This window comes from Homo sapiens, chromosome 11 (genome assembly GCF_000001405.40).
Source record: "Homo sapiens chromosome 11, GRCh38.p14 Primary Assembly".
NCBI classification, from domain to species: domain Eukaryota; kingdom Metazoa; phylum Chordata; class Mammalia; order Primates; family Hominidae; genus Homo; species Homo sapiens.
In genome coordinates, this window is record NC_000011.10 from 27,616,612 (window position 1) to 27,638,199 (window position 21,588).

At 43.7% G+C, this 21,588-nt stretch overlaps 2 long non-coding RNA genes across 6 annotated transcripts in view, besides 6 other annotated features; one reads left to right on the forward strand and one right to left on the reverse strand.

Moving 5' to 3' along the window:
• Nucleotides 1-21,588, forward strand: part of BDNF-AS (BDNF antisense RNA) — a 191,320-nt gene that overhangs the window by 109,760 nt on the left and 59,972 nt on the right. The gene's annotated exons all lie outside the window — the stretch shown is intronic.
• Nucleotides 1,015-18,016, reverse strand: LINC00678 (long intergenic non-protein coding RNA 678). The gene is made up of 4 exons (NR_102708.1): nucleotides 17,720-18,016; nucleotides 7,339-7,534; nucleotides 1,501-1,571; nucleotides 1,015-1,412 (listed from the first exon to the last, which is right to left on the reverse strand). It is a non-coding gene; the product is annotated as a long intergenic non-protein coding RNA 678 (long non-coding RNA).
• Nucleotides 12,131-12,425: a silencer, noted in NCBI's record as "tiled region #104; K562 Repressive non-DNase unmatched - State 24:Quies". NCBI's record gives its function as "represses a minimal TATA promoter and a strong SV40 promoter by Sharpr-MPRA in K562 cells {active_cell/tissue: K562}" and the evidence as "EXISTENCE:reporter gene assay evidence [ECO:0000049][PMID:27701403]".
• Nucleotides 12,528-13,314: an enhancer, noted in NCBI's record as "OCT4-NANOG-H3K27ac hESC enhancer chr11:27650686-27651472 (GRCh37/hg19 assembly coordinates)". NCBI's record gives its function as "activates a minimal SCP1, AML or CMV promoter by ChIP-STARR-seq in naive and primed H9 embryonic stem cells {active_cell/tissue: H9 hESC(naive and primed)}" and the evidence as "EXISTENCE:reporter gene assay evidence [ECO:0000049][PMID:30033119]".
• Nucleotides 15,273-16,162: an enhancer, noted in NCBI's record as "NANOG-H3K27ac-H3K4me1 hESC enhancer chr11:27653431-27654320 (GRCh37/hg19 assembly coordinates)". NCBI's record gives its function as "activates a minimal SCP1, AML or CMV promoter by ChIP-STARR-seq in primed H9 embryonic stem cells {active_cell/tissue: H9 hESC(primed)}" and the evidence as "EXISTENCE:reporter gene assay evidence [ECO:0000049][PMID:30033119]".
• Nucleotides 17,053-17,942: an enhancer, noted in NCBI's record as "OCT4-NANOG-H3K27ac-H3K4me1 hESC enhancer chr11:27655211-27656100 (GRCh37/hg19 assembly coordinates)". NCBI's record gives its function as "activates a minimal SCP1, AML or CMV promoter by ChIP-STARR-seq in primed H9 embryonic stem cells {active_cell/tissue: H9 hESC(primed)}" and the evidence as "EXISTENCE:reporter gene assay evidence [ECO:0000049][PMID:30033119]".
• Nucleotides 17,943-18,832: an enhancer, noted in NCBI's record as "OCT4-NANOG-H3K27ac hESC enhancer chr11:27656101-27656990 (GRCh37/hg19 assembly coordinates)". NCBI's record gives its function as "activates a minimal SCP1, AML or CMV promoter by ChIP-STARR-seq in naive and primed H9 embryonic stem cells {active_cell/tissue: H9 hESC(naive and primed)}" and the evidence as "EXISTENCE:reporter gene assay evidence [ECO:0000049][PMID:30033119]".
• Nucleotides 19,091-19,385: an enhancer, noted in NCBI's record as "tiled region #8127; HepG2 Activating non-DNase unmatched - State 24:Quies". NCBI's record gives its function as "activates a minimal TATA promoter and a strong SV40 promoter by Sharpr-MPRA in HepG2 cells {active_cell/tissue: HepG2}" and the evidence as "EXISTENCE:reporter gene assay evidence [ECO:0000049][PMID:27701403]".

Below are 21,588 nucleotides of genomic sequence, written 5' to 3' on the forward strand. Positions count from 1 at the left end.
AACTCTTTAATGGGTGATGTGTTAGTCAGTTTTTGCTTTGTTACAAAGAGATATCTGAAGCTGTGTGCTTTATGAAGGAAAGAGGTTTAATTGGCTCACGGTTCTGCAGACTGTACATGAAGCATGGTGCCGGTTTCTGCTTCTGGAAAGGGCTTCAGGAAGCTTACAGTCATGATGAGGGGGAAGGGGAGCCAACATGTCACATGGTGAGAGGGAGTAAGAGAGAGGAGGGGGAGGTTCCACACCCTTTTAAGTAACCAGATCTTGTGTAAACTAACAGAACGAGAACTCACTCATCACCAAGGGGATGACACTAAGCCATTCATGAAGGATCCACTCCCCTCATCCAATACCTTTCACTAGGCCCCACCTCTAACACTGGGGATTACATTTCAATGTGAGGTTTAGAGGAGACAAACATCCCAACCATATCAGCTGAGTTGGTGTTTTCTGCCTTTCCATCTTCTATTCTCCTCTTACCCAATACTCATTCCCAACCGAAACACCTGGCACAGGAGTAGACACAGTAGAACTTCATATAAGTACTACCTGCTAATTTAGCATCTCCTTATTACACCTTTTTCAATGTACTTGGGAACTCAAGGACATGGTCATCAATACACTGCCTGGATGAGAGTGGCATATCCCTACTACCACTGCATTATGATTGTCTGCTTATGTGCCTGTGTCCCTATCAAACTGATAGAGTCCTGGAAACAGAGATTATGGATTTTTACTTCTGTTGCCCTAGGAACTTGCACAGGGATTGGCACATCACAGATAATCAATCAATGATGAATTTAAGAAATTGTGGGCCAACCAATTTGATGAAATTCACTTTTGCCTAAAAAAAAAATTTGACTGACTATTTAGACTAGTTCAGTCAACAAAGTAAGATGTTTCAACCATTTACACATATGGGCCCAGCCCTCATGAGAATATGAAACATATTTTTAGGAGTCAGATAAAATTAGAACTAAAATTGAAATGGAAGAAAAATATTAAAGACGGCCATTGACTACTAATGGCTTTATTGTTCTACTCAGGAGCATCATGGAGCTTTCAAGGTTTTAAACTTAAAGAAAAACTCTTAACAGTAGAATTTAAAGCAGGAGAGAGAGCTAGCTTGAGGCCTCTTGGTACTGCTTAATTCACACTCAAGAGATATCTCTCTTCTCTCTTCTGGAAGCTATACTATTGTTCCTCCTTCCCCACCCAGCGACCAAAAAACAAAGCAGCTTCAAGTCCTGGAAAGTACAGAAGAAAAATCTTCTCTGCTCATGTTGTAGGTGTGTTTCTTCCACTACTTGGGGTGGAATTCATCAACCAGGTTGGGGCATGTCCAGGCTGTGTTCCACACATCTTCTCCTGAATCCTCAGCCCAAGCAGAAATCAGACACCTCCATGCTGTCCTTTAAGAGAAAAGCTGGCATTTCAGTGTTTTAAACATTGGCATATTCTGGTTCAATGGCCCAGCTAGATGTAAGGAAGGTGTGTTACCCAATTTTTTTCATGCTTTGAACCAAAAAGATGTTCTTCCTTATGTTTTACTCCACCTGACCATTGCCTGGCTTGAAGAAAAAAAGAGAACACTTTTCAGGAGCTGAGAAAATTGGCATTGATTTAACATAATTTAGTTAAAAGTTAGTTCTCCCCTGCCATGAGCCACAGCTGATTATTTAGAGAATTATTACCATTCATTGTTCATTGAGTTTTATCTTTCTAAATTTTCACTGATTAGCATGATTTGTTACTAGGAAAAATATTATGATTTTAATTGCATTTTGGCATCTTAAAAGAATGTTTCACACTGCTTAACATCTGCAGTCAACAGATGTTTAAACACAACTCCCTCAATGACTAAAATTTGGCAAAATGTATAATAGTTGGAACAGCTTAAAATTCTAAATATACTTCTAGGAACATGATACAGGCAGATGAAATACTACTTGTGTGTGTTTTATATTAAATATTAAAATATTACATATACCATCCCTCTCGGAGATGACAGGTTTCAGGGAAAAAAACAACAGCCAAGAGATGTTTCAACCCTACCATACCAGATATATTCTATCTATAAGCAGGGCTATGTCTTATGGTCACTGTCAACTGCAGTGGGGACCCTTTTTTAAGTGCTATTTATTGTGGTTAACTCTAGAGGCTGGCAGAGGCAAAGCTGTGAGACAGACACGTTTGTCCCTTTTGCTTCCCCTTTTGGCATCCTTCTTTTCTCTGACTCAGATCCTCAGGAGCTTTCATGAAGATATATTCTAAGATTAATATGTCAGACTTGAGTTTAAGTTAATTGGTCAGCCTTCAGTTAATTGGGGCAAAGATTCATTCATATCAGAGTGTGTGTGTGTGCGTGTGTGTGTGTGTGTGTGTGTGTGTGTGCACGTGTGTGAGTGTGGTGTCTGTCTGCTGTCTGTTTCTCAAGGCAGGGGTTCAGAGAGGAGAGAGGATGACCCAATTAGCATTTCATCAACTATTTGACCAACCATTTAAGCCGTTATGTTTAGCATGGCTTAAAGAAATCCAGAGAAAAATCATGAATTTCATTTCGATCACAACTTTTAACAGTCTGCTCCTATGGGCACTTTATGACAGTTGATGACTCGGGGCTTAGCAGAGAGTTGCTTCCTGTCCCCTTGTTGAACTCATCCCCAATGAAAACGCCATTTCTACATCAAGAATCCTAGAGGCTGTAGCAGCAAGAATGAGAAATCCACATTTTCTGTCCCTGGATGGTTAAGTTCACAGTCACAGGAACTGTGCAGATATAAAGACTTTCAATCAATGTATCTCTGCCTAAGCTTATGAGGTCATTCTGTTCTCTGTTACTGATTTAAGTCAGTAAATTTTGAGTACAGCCGATTACTTAATATATTATGGGTGGGTCTACTCCAATCAATTGAAGGCCTTAGGAGCAAAGACTAAGGTTTCCTGAAGAAAAAAGAAATTGGCCTCAAAACTGCAGCATAGAAACCCTACTAGAATTTCCAGCCTGGCCTGACCTGCAGATTGTGGACTCAACACTGACTGAAACATCAACTCATCTGAATTTTCAGACCACCAGCTTGCCCTACAGATTTTGGACTGGCTGGCCCCCACAACTGAATAAGCCAATTCCCTAAAATCTCCTCTCTCTCTCCTCTCCCTCTCGACTAGTACACATGTGTATATGTAACATCTGGATTCAGAGAAAGTGACTATAGCCAGGAGGAAGTAGAATCATGGAGAGATAAATAGGACTAGGCTATGAGAAGTGCAATGCAGGTGGTCCATCAGGAAGGGGAAGCAGCTTGTACAAAGACCAGGAGATGGGGGTCTGTGCTTTTGAGGGGGAGAATGGAGGGAGAGAGCCTGAGAGTCTGAGTCTGGAGACTGTGTTAGAGAGCAGTGAGTACTAAGACTGGATGGATTGGTAGGACCCAAGAACTGATGTGTAGAAAAGAGCCTCTTCTTTTTTTTCCACGCAGGGGGCTTAGAATTATTGCATTTTTTAAACACTGAGTCATCTTTTCTGTAGTACTCTACAACAGAGTCCACTTCAGACTGTGCAGCTGTCCCCAGCTATCACCATATCCTCTGTCTTTCATATCTATCCTAAAAGGCATTTGCTCTTCCTAAAAGGGATGCCCTCCAAAGAAATTTTAAAAGAATCTTATCAAGGGGCCCTGGAGAAGAAAGGGATGTGAGGGTCAAGTCACAACTTTGAGGGGAAATAGAAAGAGGGCTCCTTTCTGAGAAAGAAGAATTTCAAAGAGTCCAAGAGAACCAAAAATTCAGGACCCAGGAGGGTAAGCATTCCTGTTTTTGCAAGCTTCACAGACCATTTGAGTGAGTGGGTTTTTCAGGTGACATTTAAATGAACAAATAATATCCATGTCTCAGGGTCAGAAATGGTACTTTGCAACTGATTCTGTCCCTCTTGAGAGGCTTCTGCAAGACTGAGAGGGTGGGATGACTTAATGAACATTAAAAACAATGTTATTAGGCTGGATATGGTGGCACATGCCTGTAATTCTAGCACTTTGGGAGGCTGAGGTGGGCAGGCCCAGGAGTTCAAGACCAGTCTGGGCAACATGGTGAGACCCTGTATCTAATAAAAATACAAAAATTTAGCCAGGCATGGTGGCACACACCTGGAGTCCCAGCTACTCAGGAGACTGAGGTGGGAAGATCACCTGAGCTCAGGAAGTCGAGGCTGCAGTGAGCCAAGATTGCACTACTGCACTCTAGCCTACATGGATAGGAGTGAGACCTGTTTGAAAAACAAAAAACAATCAAAAACAAAAAAAAACAACCCACACAATGTTATTTTTAAAATACTGAGGGGAGAGAAGTTGGGGAAAAAAAGGGAAAACCTAAAACTCTCCATAATCCTACCATCAGAAAATTACACTAATGTGATAAGTGACTTTCTCCCCTCTGAATCTCCAATTCCATTACTTGTAGTAAATATGAATCTTATTCCACAAACTCAGACATGCAAAAAAAAAATACCACTTTACTTTTTACATAAAATTAATTCTAAGCCTATAGCAACTCTCTTTATCATATTAGGTAATTAGGAATTTGGTCTCAGATATTATTGTCACCCTCAGGGATGGACAAGGGTCTCAGGGTTTTGTGTAGCACCAAACCCTAATAAGATCTCTTCAGCCATTGAACTTACTCTACAATATTAACTGCTGAGGTGTCCATGGTCTCAGACTACAAGGTGTCTTCCGGTTCTGGCTTCTCTGCTGCCGCTTTTCAAATCAGGAGAATCTTTGGTGAGGCTTTGGAATTCCCAGCTCCCTAGCCCAGCCTCCCTAGGGTCTTCCTCCTCATCAGAGTGCTCCAGAATTCAGACTAGGATTCCATTCACACTCCAAACACCTTCCCTTCTCTCTCCAGTTCCTCCAGGACACCAAGCATAATCTCCTCAATGGGTTTAGGTTTTACAAAATTCAGTACCAGAATCGGAAGTGTCTTGCAGACAACTTTGGCTTCTGGCCCTATGACAAACATCTCCCTTGTGGCAGGAGGCCACAAAAAGCCCTGACCATCTGCTTACAAGGGAGGAGGGGAAGAAACACTGGGAGGACAAACACAAGTTAATATTCCAAAAATTATACCACTACAAACTGTTGACCGTTTTCTAAGTCTCTTTCCAGAATGTTCTTGTGCTTATAAAGCAAAAATCTCTCTACACATAAGCTTTTCTTTTTTAAGCAAAAAGGGGATTGTACTATATATATGCAGTTACAGCTTGCTTTTTTTTTCACATAGTATAGTGTGGACACTATACTATGTGAAATAATAAGGACACTTCCTAGAGTGTCCTTATTTTATTTGTGACATTGGGTACTGCTCCACTGATGGGTACTCAGGTGGTTTCTATTGTTTTGCTCTTTCACACAGTGCTGTATTGTGCACGTACTTGTACGTCTCTGTGTTCTTTTTCTATCATCACTTTCTAGAAGTGAACTGACTAGGTTGACCAAGTGGCTAGTGAATCAATACAGAAGTTTATTTGCAAACAGGAGCATAGTTATCTGTTTCTCTGCACTGCGAGCCCCGGCCAACTCTGGTGGGTTGGTTAGCATATGCTGGTTTTAGAGAAAGAGCCTGAAAATGCATTTCTCAAGATCGTAGTCTTCATGCATTTGATAAAGTTGGTGGAGTTGGTGCAAAGATTATTCTAAAAGTCTCTCTAATTAGCCTTGGTGAATAGGACTCTCATTATTAGTGTATAGGAAACAATAATCTGGGCTTTACAACTAACTAGCTAAGAGACCCTGGACAAACCATGTCCACCTCGAGGTCTCAGGTAGATCATGTAAAATGGAGATGGGACACAGATAATCTCCTAAAGACTTCCTGAAGTGATATCATACATATTGTTATACATACTCTGCATTCCTAAACATACACTGTCCTGGGCAGGTAACAAGTATCTGTCTGTGGATTGATGACAGACTTTGGGCTATATTGACTTTGCTATGCCTCTTCAGTTTCCTACTTTATATTTTTGGAACGGTATAATACATTTGTGTTAGCTTGTGTTCCTCCAAAAGCTGACCCAGGGACAAGGGTTCAAGTTTAAGAGGTTTATATTTGGAAAGTGCAGGAAAGATCAGGAAGGGAGGTGGCTGATATAAGGTATGTTATCAAGCCAGCTGTCACCGGGCTTAATCCCAAAGGGCAATGCTGAGAAACAGCGTTAAAACCCATGCTTCAGAGTTATCTGCCTTTAGATCAAGGGTGCTCGGGTGTTTATACATGAAATCCCATCAGCACACCGTAATGTGCTAATGTGCTAATTACCAGCACATCTAGCCTGCCATGCAAAGGCTGAACAGCCTGCCTTGGTTTAAGGAAAAGCCTTCAGGTCAAGAGTGCAAAAAGAGTTTTCTGGAACACAGCTAAGGGATGCGGGCATGGCCACAGTGTCTACTGTGTAACTCTCACAGTTCCCCTCACACCAGTGTTGCTTTACTCTTTTGTGTCTTTGCTCATGTTGTATTCACTCCTTTCCCTTTCTGATCAATTTCAAATCCTCAGACTTCCTATGTTTGTGTCCTGCCTCTGCTACTTCCTAGCTGAGTGACTTTGGGCATGTTACTTAAGCTCTCTGTGCCTCAGTTTCCTCATCTGGAAATAGGCATAGTGATAATTCTCATCTCATTAAACAGTTGTTAGGATCAAATGGTAATGGTGGAAAGCACTTATGGCAGTGCCTACCACTTAATAAGTCTTCAGTAAATGTCATCATATTTATTATCCTTCAATAGCTACTTCAAGTGGTAGTGCCTTGAAGAAAGCATCCCTGAGACTTCAGGCAGGGTTAAGGGCTCAGGCCCCTTCTTAACACATTATGATGACACTTTCCATATGCAAGTTTATCTTCTCCTATGGACAGTGAGTCCAGGAAGGCGTCACTGTGGCTTACTCAGGTCTGCGTCCTCTGCAATTCTTGCAGGACCTAACCTGCCATTCTGTTAATGAGTAATAGACAGAGACTTTGCTTTCATTCACTCATAAATAAACCTTTGCTTTAAGATTGACCCTGAGTAAAACGTAAATTTCATCAAACTGTAGTAACAATACACTTTCTTTATCCTAACACATACATTGCCAACACTGCTCCCTTAAAACACACACACACACACACACACACACACACACACACGCACACACAAAACCACTGCTTAGTATTTCTGAAATCAGGTTGTCAGTCTAAATACTGAGATTTGTTTTTCATTTTATCTGCCTTTCTTTCACAAAGTAGGCTATTATTAAATAAATGCTAGACTCTAGTATTAAAATTGACAAATGTATGGTTTAGACCTCAAAGTGAAGGATAACTTGGAAATAGTTCTCGGTTGCTCTTCAAGAAGAAAACAGGTTCCTGGGGTGCCTCGCCATGTGGTGGATCTCACACTCCCGTCATTCTGCTAACACAATCCCAGGAGCTGATTCTGTTGCGTCTCGCAGGGTATCAGTCTCATCCAGATCAAGTATGAGCAGGGCAGACTGGTAGGTCCTAGGAGTGGGAAGGGACAGAAGAACTAATTTGATGCCATGTTGGAAGGTCAAGACAGAGATGCCAAATCAGATGTCAGGATGGAGGAGCCAACAAAATGGGCAATAGGGGACACAGTTGAGGAATGGAGTGACAGTAGCAAGAGAGTGAGAAGTAGGAACTCAGCAGAGATGCACACCCAGCCAAGAAGTTACCCTGCATTAAATGACAGTGAGCTGGCCTGGAATGGACACCCCAAAACCAAGATCCATGGCAGAGGGGACACTGGCAGTACAGGGTCTGGCCCTGGACATCAGGTGGGTGAAACTGTTGGGGATGGAGGAGAAGAAGGCATTGATGATGAACCATGAGTGTTGGGAGGGTTTAGTCAGATATTAAACATTGCCTCATTTAATTTTGCTTGAAAAGAAAAATAACTCTGGTTAGAATATTTTAGAATGCAGGCTTGCTAGTATCACTAAACCAGAAAAAAAAATTGTCAAAAATATATATAAAAAAGAAAAACAAGAGCAAATCCAGATTTGAATCCAGTCTACTTGAGTTAACAGCTGGATGAATTTGGGCAAACAATTTGGACAAGCGAGTTCTCTGCATTTAACTTTTCATCATGAAATACACATAATATTCCTGGGCTGTTGTGAGGAATTATTAAGATAAGAAGATAATGACAGCAATGGTCTACTGAATACTTAATATTTGCAGGCACAGTACCAAGGGTTTTCCCATACTTGGTCTTATTTTCTAAAATTAGCCTACAAGGTAAGTACCATAGATTCTTATTTTATAGCTGCAAATTGAGTTTCAGTGTGATTAAGTAACTTGTGCCATGTCTCGCTAAAGAATATATATAAATCATCACACATAGAATACAGTAGGTGTTTAACACATGTGAGTTTTCTCCTTTCACTCTGCTTGCAATGCTAGCCATAGAAGATTTTAAAATTGTCTGATTTTTGAAGAAAAAACCCTTGGAAGAGCACTCCCTCTCTGCTGGACTAGAGTTTAACTATCATCATGTTCTTTGTGAATTTGATAGCCTTTTAATCCACCGAGGCCATGACCTTCTTGTAATGTGTTGACTTCCTCTACCGCCAGTGTTTCTCTCGAGGGACCTCCATCTGCATTTGTTTGTGGCTGTCCCTCTCAGTGACATTTCCTCCTTTACCTGATTCTCAAGATAATTTGTTTTTCATTTGAGCTTCAGCAGCCTGAGAGATGATGTCAAAATCAATCAATCCTCCTACAAGCTTTGTAAATACAATCCCTTGGCTTTGCAGAAAGGGTATCTCTATTGCCCAGTTCTTCCTGGAGCAGTGGGGCCACCCAAAGGAGAATCAGGAGGTTAGAACACATCCTAGAACATGAAATCTCATGCATGAGGGGATGTCAGCCTCATAGCATCTGAGTCCTAGTGTGGGAAGATGGGAGCTGAGGAGGTGTCATCCCCTGGGACTTCTGGGAGCTGCAGGTGGAACCTTAGAGCCCTTGGTCCAATGTGGATAATAAGGAGCCCTGTTAGAGAGCCATAGAAACCATCCCTGAGTCATGTCTTCCTTTCTCCTTCAATATGACCTTCTCTGGGAGTCTTCTTGCGGGGAGGCAGCAATGCCTTGGAAAGTTTGAGCTGGTTTCTGATGAGAGGTTGAGGCAGGGATCTCATGGTTATCTCCTTCCTCAAAATGGAGCCAGAAGATGCAAGCCAGCTGTCATGGACTGATTGAAGCCTGTTATGGATTTGCCTTTTAATGTGTTTGTTAAAAATTTGAATCAGGTGCAACATTTAAAATGGGAGACTTCACATGAAACTCCAGATTTCTGGCTTCCCTTGAAAAATCACACCTGATAATCCTGGGCTAGCATTTCTATGGGCAAGAGTAGGCTGGATCTAGGGAAGCCTCTTCAGGTGGGGCAGGTGCAGTCCTGTGTGCCCCAGTCCCCACCTGACCCCATGCTCCCTTAGGTTACCTGTCTTGTTCCCTGGGCATTTGAGTTTTGAAAGAAGGAACGGGAAGGAAAATAACAATAGAGTTACAAGACTTACAACCTAACACAGTTAATAACAGGAAAAGTAAAAGGCGCTTCAGGTAACTATTTCCTTTACATATCACGCAAAACATCCAGTTTTGCAGAAAGATAAATTGGAGACCAGAGAAGTGAATTAAGCTGCTTAAAGTGTTGGTAAATGGTACAACCAAAATTTGAGGTTTGGTCTCTTTGACTCCAAGTCATGTGACCACAAAATCCCACTTTGCTACAGTGGCCTCCCCCAGAATCTGCTTCCCTTTGATTAACAGGATGCCCTCACGCTTCTGCATATCCAGGGCACCTGATGCCCTGTCAGATATCAAAGAGTTAATGTTATACCAGTCATCATTCTTGATACCAAGAAAATTCAAGAGGAGTCTTGTTTTTCTCTGATGCTGGCTGGCATCCTCTCTGCTCCCTGAGTCTCTAATGAGAATGTGTACAGTGGTATTCAAATAGGGTAGGAGAAACTTCTTTGTGTATCACTGAGGTCACCATTTGCATTAAGGGAAAAGAGGTTCGATGACTCTCAGTTCGGCAATTCAGCAGCCATCTGTACTTCACATCACTGGCCTGAATTTTCAGCCTCATTAAATTCTTTCAGGTCGTCTGGTCCCAATCTTTGTGGTTACCCAAGTGTATATTTATGTCTCATGAGTTATTGCCATTTCTAACCTGTGCTTAACTGCTCCCACCTCCCACTACCCTTAATTGATCTTGCAGTACTTCTGGTATTTTTTTTAAAGTCTTCCCTTTCCCAATTATTTCCAAGAGCCCACAGGGGTTACTGCATGTGTATCAGACACTGTGTCCTCTGGGTTTCTACATGGCTTCTACCTTGTTCTGTCAAAGCTCCCTGTGAACTATTTTTGCTGGGTACCACCATCTCCCACTGGACACCGCCGCCAAGAGGTGTTTAAGGTCATTTGGGGTTGCATGCACTGGTGGGTAGAATGAATGTTTCTTTCTCATGGTCTGTGTTTCACATGGCTACCAAACTGCTGGTAGTGCCATGTCTTAGGGAGCTTAGCTTGGTTGGTTTTTGTCACAACATCCCTCTGCCTCCATACATACCTTTGCATTGCTCCACAGGATTCAGAGGAGATGCCGTGGGGAACTGGGCTGAGAGATATAATACTGAGCTAGGGTTTGCTCCTTCCCTTTGATGACTAAGGCTTTATTTTTGCACCAAGACTATCTGCCTAGTACCCTCTTCCCTTAGGCTGAGTTTTCTCCCAGGTGGCTCTTTACTCCCCTGTGCAACCCTTGCTATCTTGCCTGTATTGGGCATGACTGGGTCTAAGTGATGGATATGTCTTGGTGGCTCGCAGTCAAATTGGAACCCCTGAAATCTGTTTTTTTGTTTTCTGTTTTTTTGTTTTGTTTGTTTTTTTTTTTGTTTTGACAAGGTCTCACTCTCTCACCTACTCCAGAGTGAAGTGGCACACTCTTGGCTCACTGCAGCCTCAATCTCCTGGGCCCAAGTGATCCTCCCACCTTAGCTTCCTGAGTAGCTGGCACTACAGACACATGCCACCATGTGTGGCTCATTTTGTGTATATTTTGTAGAGGTGGGGTTTTGCCATGTTGCCCAGGCTGGTCTTGAACTCTGGGCTCAAGCGATCCACCTGCCTTGGCCTCAGAAAGTGCTGAGATTACAGACAGGGGCCACCATACCTGGCCGGAACCCCTGAAATCTTAGGTGGCAGTATTTTATATAATTTTGTGTCCTTAAAGCCCAAATCACCTGAAATAGTTTTATCATACAGCCTCAACCCAGACACAGATTGGCTTAAGTGTTCCTCTAAGTGCTTGGGTATGCAGCTTCATTGTCTTCTTTCCTAAAGAAACAAGCCTGTAACTCAAAGATTTTGAAATTTGGATTCTTGCTTGATGTAAGCTGAGTAGCACGGTTATAAGGCTACAGACACCACTGCAATAGGTGGGACTCCTTGAGCCAGCTTAAGCCACAAGGAGGAAATGGAAGTGGAACCCAAGGAAAGGATTATGGCTAGGTCTTGGGAAGAAGGGATTGAGGCAGTGAACTTCCTCTTGTTCCTGCCTTCCTCTGTATCTTTATGCAGACTGTCTACCTTTGACTCCCAGTTCACAAGGTGGCATATGACCATCCCATTCTTTTCAGGTTTACATATAATAGTTCCAGAAATATGCAAGACTTTTCTAGTCCCAATTTAAAATTCCCAAGAGGAAGAACCTGATTGTTTCTGTTTAGGTCAGTGTTCATCTCTGATTCAATCAACTGTGTTCCATTCACCAAGTCTGTGTCTAAGGATCAAAGATAGACCAGAGAGGTTACAGTGAGCTGACAGCCACATACACATCCATTCTACTTGACCATTTTTTTTTTTCCCATTTTCTCACATTTACTTGTACCTTTCTGGAAAGGCACTGAGTAGAGGGGCAATACTCAAGATAAGCAATGAAAGTTAACCATAATGTTTTCTTTCTTTTCTTTTCTTTTCTTTTTTCTGTGACAGGGTCTCACTCTGTCACCCAGGCTGGAGTGCAGTAGTGTGATCTCAGCTCACTGCAACCTCTGCTTCCTGGGTTCAAGTGATTCTTATGCCTCAGCCTCCTGAGCATCTGGGATTACAGGCGCACACGACCACACCAGCTAATTTCTGTATTTTTAATAGAAACGGGGTTTTGCCATGTTGGCCAGGCTGGTCTCGAACTGTTAGCCTCAAGTGATCCCCCCACATCAGCTTCCCAAAGTGCTGGGATTACAAGCATGAGCCACTGCACTCAACCCTAACAAAGAATCCTAGTAGCTAATGTTTACTAGACATTTCGTATGTAACAGATACTGTATTGAGTGCATCACAGGAATTATCTCACCTATTACATACAAGAAGATCTTATCATTGATTATTATTATTTTCATGTGCGTCCCTGTGAAGAGACCACCAAACAGGCTTTGTGTGAGCAATAAAGCTTTTAATCACCTGGGTGCAGGTGGGCTGAGTCCGAAAAGAGAGTCAGCAAAGGGAGATAGGGGTGGGGCCATTTATAGGATTTGGGTAGGTAAGGGAAAATTACAGTCAAAGGGGGGTTGTTCTCTGGCGGGCAGGAGTGGGGCTCGCAATGTGCTCAGTGGGGGTGCTTTTTGAGCCAGGATGAGCCAGGAAAAGGACTTTCACAAGGTAATGTCATCACTTAAGGCAAGGACCGGCCATTTACACTTCTTTTGTGGTGGAATGTCATCAGTTAAGGTGGGGCAGGGCATATTCACTTCTTTTGTGATTCTTCAGTTACTTCAGGCCATCTGGGCGTATATGTGCAAGTCACAGGGGATGTGATGGCTGGGCTTGGGCTCAGAGGCCTGACATTCCTGCCTTCTTCTATTAATAAGAAAAATAAAACAAAATAGTATTGAAGTGTTGGGGCGGCAAAAATTTTTGGGGGGTGGTTTGGAGAGAGAATGGGTGATGTTTCTCAGGGCTACTTCAAGCAGGATTAGGGGCAGCGTGGGAACCTAGAGTGGGAGAGATTAAGCTGAAGGGAGGTCTTGTGGTAAGGGGTGATATTGTGGGGATGTTAGAAGAAACATTTGTTGTATAGAATGATTGGTGATGGCCTAGATACGGTTTTGGATGAATTGAGAAACTAAATGGAATAACAGAAGGAGAAAAACAGGTATAAAAGGTCTAAGAATTGGGACGACTCAGGATATCTGATTAGAGAGTGCCTAAGGAGATACAGCATAGTCCTGCCAGCAAAGATTATTTATTTACTTCAAGAGTTAACAGTGGCAGTTTGGGGATAGCACCAGGAGATATCAGCTGTGATGGCTTGGAAAAACAGTGTAAACTGGCAGTGTAAACAAGAGCAGGGTATGAGTAGTTGAGAACGGTGAATAGGAGTATGACTAGACAGAAGATAGTAGGGATGACAAGATTTTTGGGGCACAGTCTAAGTTGGTCTGGTGTCTGGAATGAGACCGGGGCCTAATAAAAAGGAGCATCTATACAGGAGCTTAAATGGGCTGTACCCTGTAGCATTCCGAGGACAGGCCTGAATTCTGAGAAGGGAAAGTGGTAAAAGTATTGTCTAGTCCTTTTTAAGTTGGTGGCTGAGCTTGGTGAGGTGTGTTTTTAAAAGACCTTTAGTCCATTCTACTTTTCTTGAAGACGGAGGACCGTAAGGGATATAAAGGTTTCACTGAATACTAAGAGCCTGAAAAACTGCTTGGCTGATTTGACTAATAAAGGCTCGTCTGTTATCAGACTGTATAGAGGTGGGAAGGCTAAACTGAGGAATTATGTCTGACAGAACGGAAGAAATGACCTCAGTGGCCTTCTCAGACCCTGTAGGAAAGGCCTCTACCTATCCAGTGAAAGAATCTACCTAGACTAAGAGGTATTTTAGTTATCTGACTCAGGCCATGTTGAGTAAAGCTAATTTGCCAGTCCTGGGTGGGGCAAATCCTGGAGCTTGATGTGTAGGGAAGGGAGGGGGCCTGAATAATCCCTGAGGAGTAGTAGAATAGCAGATGGAACACTGAGAAGTTATTTCCTCGAGGATAGATTTCCACGATGGAAAGGAAATGAGAGGTTCTAAGAGGCGGGCTAGTGGCTTGTACTATAGTATAACCTGCCTTTGCTGGTGTGTGGCGATTAGGCCTGGTGGAACTGCCGTCAATAAATCAAGCGTGATCAGGGTGAGGAACAGGAAAGAAGGAAATTTGGGGAAATGGGGTGAATGTCAGGTGGATCAGAGAGATAGTCATGGGGGTCAGGTGTGGTATCAGGAATAATGTGGGAGGCCGGATTGAAGTCTGGGCCGGGAACAACGGTAATTGTGGGAGACTCAACAAAGAGTGAGTACAGCTGAAGGAGCCGGGGAGCAGAAAGTATATGCGTCAGGTATGGGGAAGAAAATAGATTTTGGAAGTTATGAGAACTGTAGAGAGTGAGTTGAGCATAGCTTGTGATTTTGAGGGCCTCTAAAAGTATTAAAGCAGCGGCAGCCGCTGCACGCAGACATGAGGGCTAGGCTAAAACAGTAAGGTCAAGTTGTTTGGACAGAAAGGCTACAGGGTGTGGTCCTGGCTCTTGTGTAAGAATTCTGACCATGCTAGCCATGCCTAGGAAGGAAAGGAGTTGTTGTTTTGTAGAAGGTGCTTGGGTTTGAGAGATCAGTCGGACACGATTGGCAGGGAGAGCACGTGTGTTTTTATGAGAATTATGCCGAGATAGGTAACAGATGAGGAAGAAATTTGGGCTTGATTGAAGTAATGGGGGCTGTCTGTGAAGCTTTGCAGCAGTACAGCCTAGGTAATTTGCTGAGCTTGATGGGTGTCAGGGTCAGTCCAAGTGAAAGTGAAGAGAGGCTGGGATTAAGGGTGCAAAGGAATAGTAAAGAAAGCATGTTTGAGATCTAGGACAGAATAATGGGTTGTAGAGACAGGTATTGAGGATAGGAGAGTATATGGGTTTGGCATCACAGGGTGGATAGGCAAAACAATTTGGTTGATAAGGCACAGATCCTGAACTAACTTGTAAGGCTTGTCTGGTTTTAGGACAGGTAAAATGGGGGAATTGTAAGGAGAGTTTATAGGCTTTAAAAGGCCATGCTATAGCAGGCGAGTGATAACAGGCTTTAATCTTTTTAAAGCGTGCTGCCGGATGGGATATTGGCGTTGAGTGGGGTAAGGGTGATTAGGTTTTAATGAGATGGTAAGGGGTGCATGATCGGTCGCCAAGGAGGGAGTAGAGGTATCTTATACTTGTGGGTTAAGGTGGGGGGATACAAGAGGAGGACGCAAAGGAGGCTTTGGATTGGGAAGAAGGGTGGCAATGAGATATAGCTGTAGTCCAGGGATAGTCAGGGAAGCAGATAATTTAGTTAAAGTGTCTCAGCCTAATAAGGGAACTGGGCAGGTGGGGATAACTAAAAAGGAGTGCTTAAAAGAGTATTTTCTAAGTTGGCACCAGAGTTGGGGAGTTTTAAGAGGTTTAGAGGCCTGGCCGTCAATACCCACAACAGTTATGGAGGCAAGGGAAACAGGCCCTTGAAAAGAAGGTAATGTGGAGTGGGTAGCCTCCGTATTGATTAAGAAGGGGACAGGCTTGCCTTCCACTGTGAGAGTTACCCGAAGCTCTGCGTCTGTGATGGTCTAGGGGGCTTCCGAGGCCATCGGGCAGTGTCAGTCTTCAGCTGCGAAGCCGAGAAGATCTGGGAAGGAGTCAGTCAGAGAGCCTTGGGCCAGAGTTCCAGGGCCTCTGGGAGTGGCTGCCAGGTGAGTTGAACAGTCCGATTTTCAGTGGGGTCCCACACAGATGGGACACGGCTTAGGAGGAATCCTGGGCTGCAGGCATTCCTTGGCCTGGTGGTCAGATTTCTGGCACTTGTGGCAAGCTCCTGGGGGAGGAGGTTCTGGAGGAACGCCTGGCCGCTGAGTTTCAGGCATTTGGAAGTTCTTGTGTGCTGGAGATGTGGCTGGGGTTTGTCTCACAGTGGAGGCAAGGAATTGCAACTTTTTTCTATTATTGTACACCTTGAAGGTGAGGTTAATTAAATCCTGTTGTGGGGTTTGAGGGCCGGAATTTAATTTTTGGAGTTTTATTTAATGTCAGGAGCAGATTGACATTATTTTGAGAATAAGACGGCCTTTTGAGCTTTTAGGGTCTAGGGCTGTAAAGTGTCTCAGGGTTGCTGCCAAACAAGTCATGAACTGAGCTGGATTATTATATTTGATGAAAAAGAGCCTAAACGCTATCTGATTTGGGATAAAGAAAAAGGAGCATTAACCTTGACTATGCCTTTAGCTCCAGCCACCTTTTTAAGAGTAAATTGCCGGGCAGGAGGGGGAAGGCTACTCACGGAACGAAACTGTAAGCTGGACCAGGTGTGAGGAGAGGAGGTGATAAAAAGATTATAGGGTGGAGGAGCAGAGGCTGAGGAAGAATTGGGACCTAGCTCGGCCTGGCGAGGAGCAGCCTGGGGAGGAAGGGAGAGGTCAGATGGGTCTGTAGAAAAGGAAGATTAGAAAGACTCAGCGACGCTTGGTGTTGGGACTGAGGGGACAGGCGGGAGGGAAAGAGGGAAGATTTGGGACGAGTTGCACTGGGCACAGAGACTGGGAAGGGACTGATGTGTAAAAGAATGCCTGGATGTCAGGCACCTCAGACCATTTGCCTATTTTATGACAAGAATTATTTAGATCTTGTAGGATGGAAAAAGTCAAAGTGCCATTTTCTGGCTATTTGGAACTGCTGTTGAGTTTGTATTGGGGTCAGGCGGCATTGCAGAAGAAAATAAGGCATTTAGGTTTTATGTCAGGTGTGAGTTGAAGAGGTTTTAAGTTTTTGAGAACACAGGCCAAGGGAGTAGAAGGAGGAATGGAGGGTGGAAGGTTGCCTATAGTGAAGGAAGCAAGCCTAGAGAAGAGAGTAGAGAAACAGAGGGAAGAGGTTTGGGGGTTCTTACCTTCCAGAAAAGTGGAAAAAGGGGTTGGGGCACAGAGATAAGGGGTTGGGGCACGGAAATAAGGGATGGGGCACAGAAATAAGGGATGGGGCATGGAAATAAGGGATGAGGCGTGGAAATAAGGGGTAGGGGCACAGAAATAAGGGGTCGGGGCACAGAAATAAGGGATTGGGGTGCAGAGATACGAGGTTGGGGTACTTGCCCCTCCTCTAGAAAAGTGGGACTTGCCACTAAGAGTGAAGGAGAAGGGGTTGAAGGGTACTTGCCCCTCCCCCAGAAAAGCGGGACTTGCCGCTAAGGGTGAAGGAGAAGGGGTTGAGGGGTACTTGCCCCTCCCCCAGAAAAGCAGAGAAGGGGTAGAGACAAGGAGAGAAGGGGTTGGGGTACTTGCCCCTTTCCCAGAAAAGCGGGACCTGCCGCTAAGGGTGAAGGACCAAGGCAGGCATCCCTGCATGGTCTGACACCTTTGAAACGTGGGTGAATAATCAGGCGTCCCTGCAATGATTAAACACCAAGGGAAGGCTGCCTTCCCAGTCCGTGACCGGTGCTGGAGTTTTGGATCCACAGATAAAACGTGTCTCCTTTGTCTCTCCCAGAAAATGAAAGGAATTGAAATTAAGAGAAGGGAGAGATTGAAGAGTGGAAAGGAGAAAGTGGTTGAGGGACAGTGAGAGAGGTTGGAGAAGAGAGTAAGAAGAGGCCGCTTACCTGATTTAAAATTGGTGAGATGTTCGTTGGGCTGGTCGGTCTGAGGACCTGAGGTCGTAGGTGGATCTTTCTCACGGAGCAAAGAACAGGAGGACAGGGGATTGATCTCCCAAGGGAGGACCCCCGATCCGAGTCACGGCACCAAATTTCATGTGTGTCCGTGTGAAGAGACCACCAAACAGGCTTTGTGTGAGCAATAAAGCTTTTAATCACCTGGGTGCAGGTGGGCTGAGTCTGAAAAGAGAGTCAGCAAAGGGAGATAGGGGTGGGGCAATTTATAGGATTTGGGTAGGTAAGGGAAAATTACAGTCAAAGGGGGGTTGTTCTCTGGCAGGCAGGAGTGGGGGTCGCAAGGTGCTCAGTGGGGGTGCTTTTTGAGCCAGGATGAGCCAGGAAAAGGACTTTCACAAGGTAATGTCATCACTTAAGGCAAGGACTGGCCATTTACACTTCTTTTGTGGTGGAATGTCATCAGTTAAGGTGGGGCAGGGCATATTCACTTCTTTTGTGATTCTTCAGTTACTTCAGGCCATCTGGGCGTATATGTGCAAGTCACAGGGGATGTGATGGCTTGGCTTGGGCTCAGAGGCCTGGCAATTATTAGCCTCATTTCACATGAGGACACCAGGGTTAGGGGGCGGGCTGGACCAAGATCTATGTGGAGAGCAGAGTTCAACCCAAAATGCATGCTTTTTATCACTATATTTAGAGATAGACACACCTGGTTTCAATCCTTGAGGTTGCCACTAGCTATGTGATTTTTGAATAATCATTCTGAATCTTAGTTTCCACATCTGTAAATGAAGATAAAAATACCTTTCCAATTAAAAATGATTTTAAACTAGGCAACTTAGGCAAATTATTCTTTTCCTTCATGTACCTGGGCTTTCCCGCCTCATCTAAGCACACTTGTTCTTTCTAATGCTCCCTGACTGTAACCAAAACCTCCAGAGCCCTTCATCCATCCTCTGATTGCCATGAATTGCCAACATCAGATAAATAGTTTAAAAAGTGGCAAGAAAGTAGGATTTCAAGTCAGAAGACTTGGATTTGAATCTTGCTTCAGCTTTGTATTAATTGTTATCATTCTGAATCATAGTTTCCCCATCTGAAAAATAAGATGTGGAGTTGTTATTATTGGTGGTGGTCTGTTCTAAGCATTAAATGAAGAAATGCATGTCAAACCTTCTGAAAACTCAGACACCAAACACTTGGAAAGGAGTCTGTTACAGTCTCACCAATGCACCACAATGTAGCAGTCTCTCCTTGTGAGGTATCACCCAAGACCAAGAGAATTAAGGAGTATGGACCCAAAGGGTGAGGTCGGAGTGAAAGTTTAATAAGTGAATGAAGAAAGCTCTCTGTTGCAGAAAGGGGACCTGGAAGAGGATTGCTGTTTTTCACAGTTGAATGCAAAGGCTTTTATAGGAAACTGATGAGGGCTGGGCATTTTGTTTGCATAAGGCATGTTTTTCTGGTAGCTCCACCCCATCCTCCTAAGGTGCATGTGGGCCCTTAGCTTGAGTTACCCATATTGCTTTGTTGCCCTTATTATGCATGTGTCAGGGGATGAAATTTTCCACTGCTGGCATGTCTGGGCAAGTCACCTGTGTAGCCTTTCTTATCTGTGCAGCTGTGGGCATGTCTTAGGCAAGTCCCCCAGTGTAAGTTCCCTTATCTGTGCCTGCAGGCTGTTCTTTTGTTTCTAAAAATTCAATCCAGGGCCCATCCTAACTGCCTGCCTGACCGGTTTCTTTCTTTTTCCTCTCTCAATTCTTATTAAGGCAGAAAAATTCTAGAATGACTTTTTGTCCTATAGCCTTGTTCCCAGAATGCTTTGGAAATGTAACAGCCAATTTATCAAGACAGGGGAATTGCAATAGAGAAAGAGTACTTAATGCAGAGCAAAGAGAAAAAAGATAAAGTTCTTTTAAATATATATAGCTTGGATATTCATGTTTAATTAAGCAAATTTTAACCATAGAGCTCTTTTGTTTAAAGAAAATCTCTTTTAAATCTCTTATTACCAGACTCTAGTCAGGACAGCCAATATTTCTGGCCTTTGAATTCTACCCCAGGTAACCGCCCACATGAAATTAGTAAGTTTTAATTAAGGTTATAACTTAACCATGGATACAAAAGGTGTTTTAAAGAGATGGTAAGCAGCTTTTTTTTTTTAAAAACAAGATTTAGAATATCCCCAAAGGTAGTACAGTGAAAGGAAAATTCAAGACAGGAAATCAGAAGCTATCTATGGGGTGAAAAAAAAAAAACCTCAATAAATGGCAAAGTTCCACAAATAACAAACCAGAAAGGAATCATTCTGTAAGCCAAGAATTGAACCTGGGCCACCATTGTCAAGAGATAAAAACCTTAGCTACTGAGCTACACAGCATTGAGCAGTTTCTACTGCTCTCCCCCGAAGAAGTCTACAGCAGCTGATCTGAAGCTTGCAAAGGCTTTTAAGTGCTCAAGATAATTCTTAGGGCTGTGATATGAACCCCCAAATTCCTGTCCTCTGGATGGTGGAGACCAGGATGAAGTACCTCTACATGGTCACAAAGTTAAGCTCTTAAAGACACAAAACAAGACAGAAATTTCATCTGGTATTGGTTTCAGGGACCCACAACAAAGTTTATAACTGACCAGCCTGCCGGGTTGGCTTGAAAAGCAGGATTACAGGGGTCCTAAACTCATGTTCTATCCTGTGACACCCTTCTCTCCATTACGGAAGGACAAATTCTTAGTACAAAGTGCACCAGATTTGCCACAGCCTAAGACTAGTCTCACAAATCCTTTTTTACTATTCATCAAACCTTTGCAGAGACACACAGTGACATTTATTGCTTACCACTGCCCCCCTCCAACACACACACACACACACTCACACAGACACACAATGCAGAGAGACAGAGAGAAAGAGAGAGAGAGAGGCCAGACACTTTTCTGGTAAGAATTCTTGCCCTTTGTGCCAGCATATCAGGTTTCTGGGTCCCCTTTCTCTGCAGCTTCTAGAAGAATGGAGCAGCATTTGATGGCCCTGTTCACCGTGCCATAGACGTGAGGGGACCAAGCCCCATTACAAAAGAAAATGATCCTTTTCTGTTTTATGGAACCATAGGCAAAAGCTTCTCAATGTTGCAAGATGCTGCCTGATGGGCTACATGGGGAACCAAATTAACATTTTCCATTCCAGTGGAAGCAAAATACACATAACGCTACAGACATTGGTCACCTTGTTCAGCACCCAACATCGACCTGGCAAGACTCGAACTTTTTCCCGTTGGTCCCTGTTGTCTTTGATCTACACAAAGTGGGGAATGGTGACCTCCATCTGGGAATTCAATGGGTGATCTCTGGGCAAGATGAAGAGCAGTCACAAACCCGATCCAGGGCTGTTAAACTTCTTTCAGGACTCACTGAATGTGACCAGATAGATAAGGAGAGTTCTCTGAGTTAGGCCTGCTAGACTTCCATCAGCAATTCCTTCAGAGATCTCCTCCACATATACAAATACACACATATAGACAAGACAGACAGAAGGCTTTCCAAATCAAGATTCCTAACCAAGAATTCCAGAGTATCTCTTCCAAACTATCCTCCTATTCTCTGTTTGAGAAATCTCCCTGAAATCTTCTTGATTGAGGAGAAGTCTCCCGAACCAAGACTCTTTTTACTAGTTAGGCAGAGCCAACCGAGACCCCCCAGGAGCCAAACCAAGACAGACACCCCATGTTGTAGCTACAGACACCTCACAATGGAGCTACAGAACTAGTTGCGAAAAGGAAGGAGACATTGGCAGCACCTAGGATACTCACCAACCCAGACACCCTACAATGGGGCTATAGACAGACACCCTGTGATAGGGC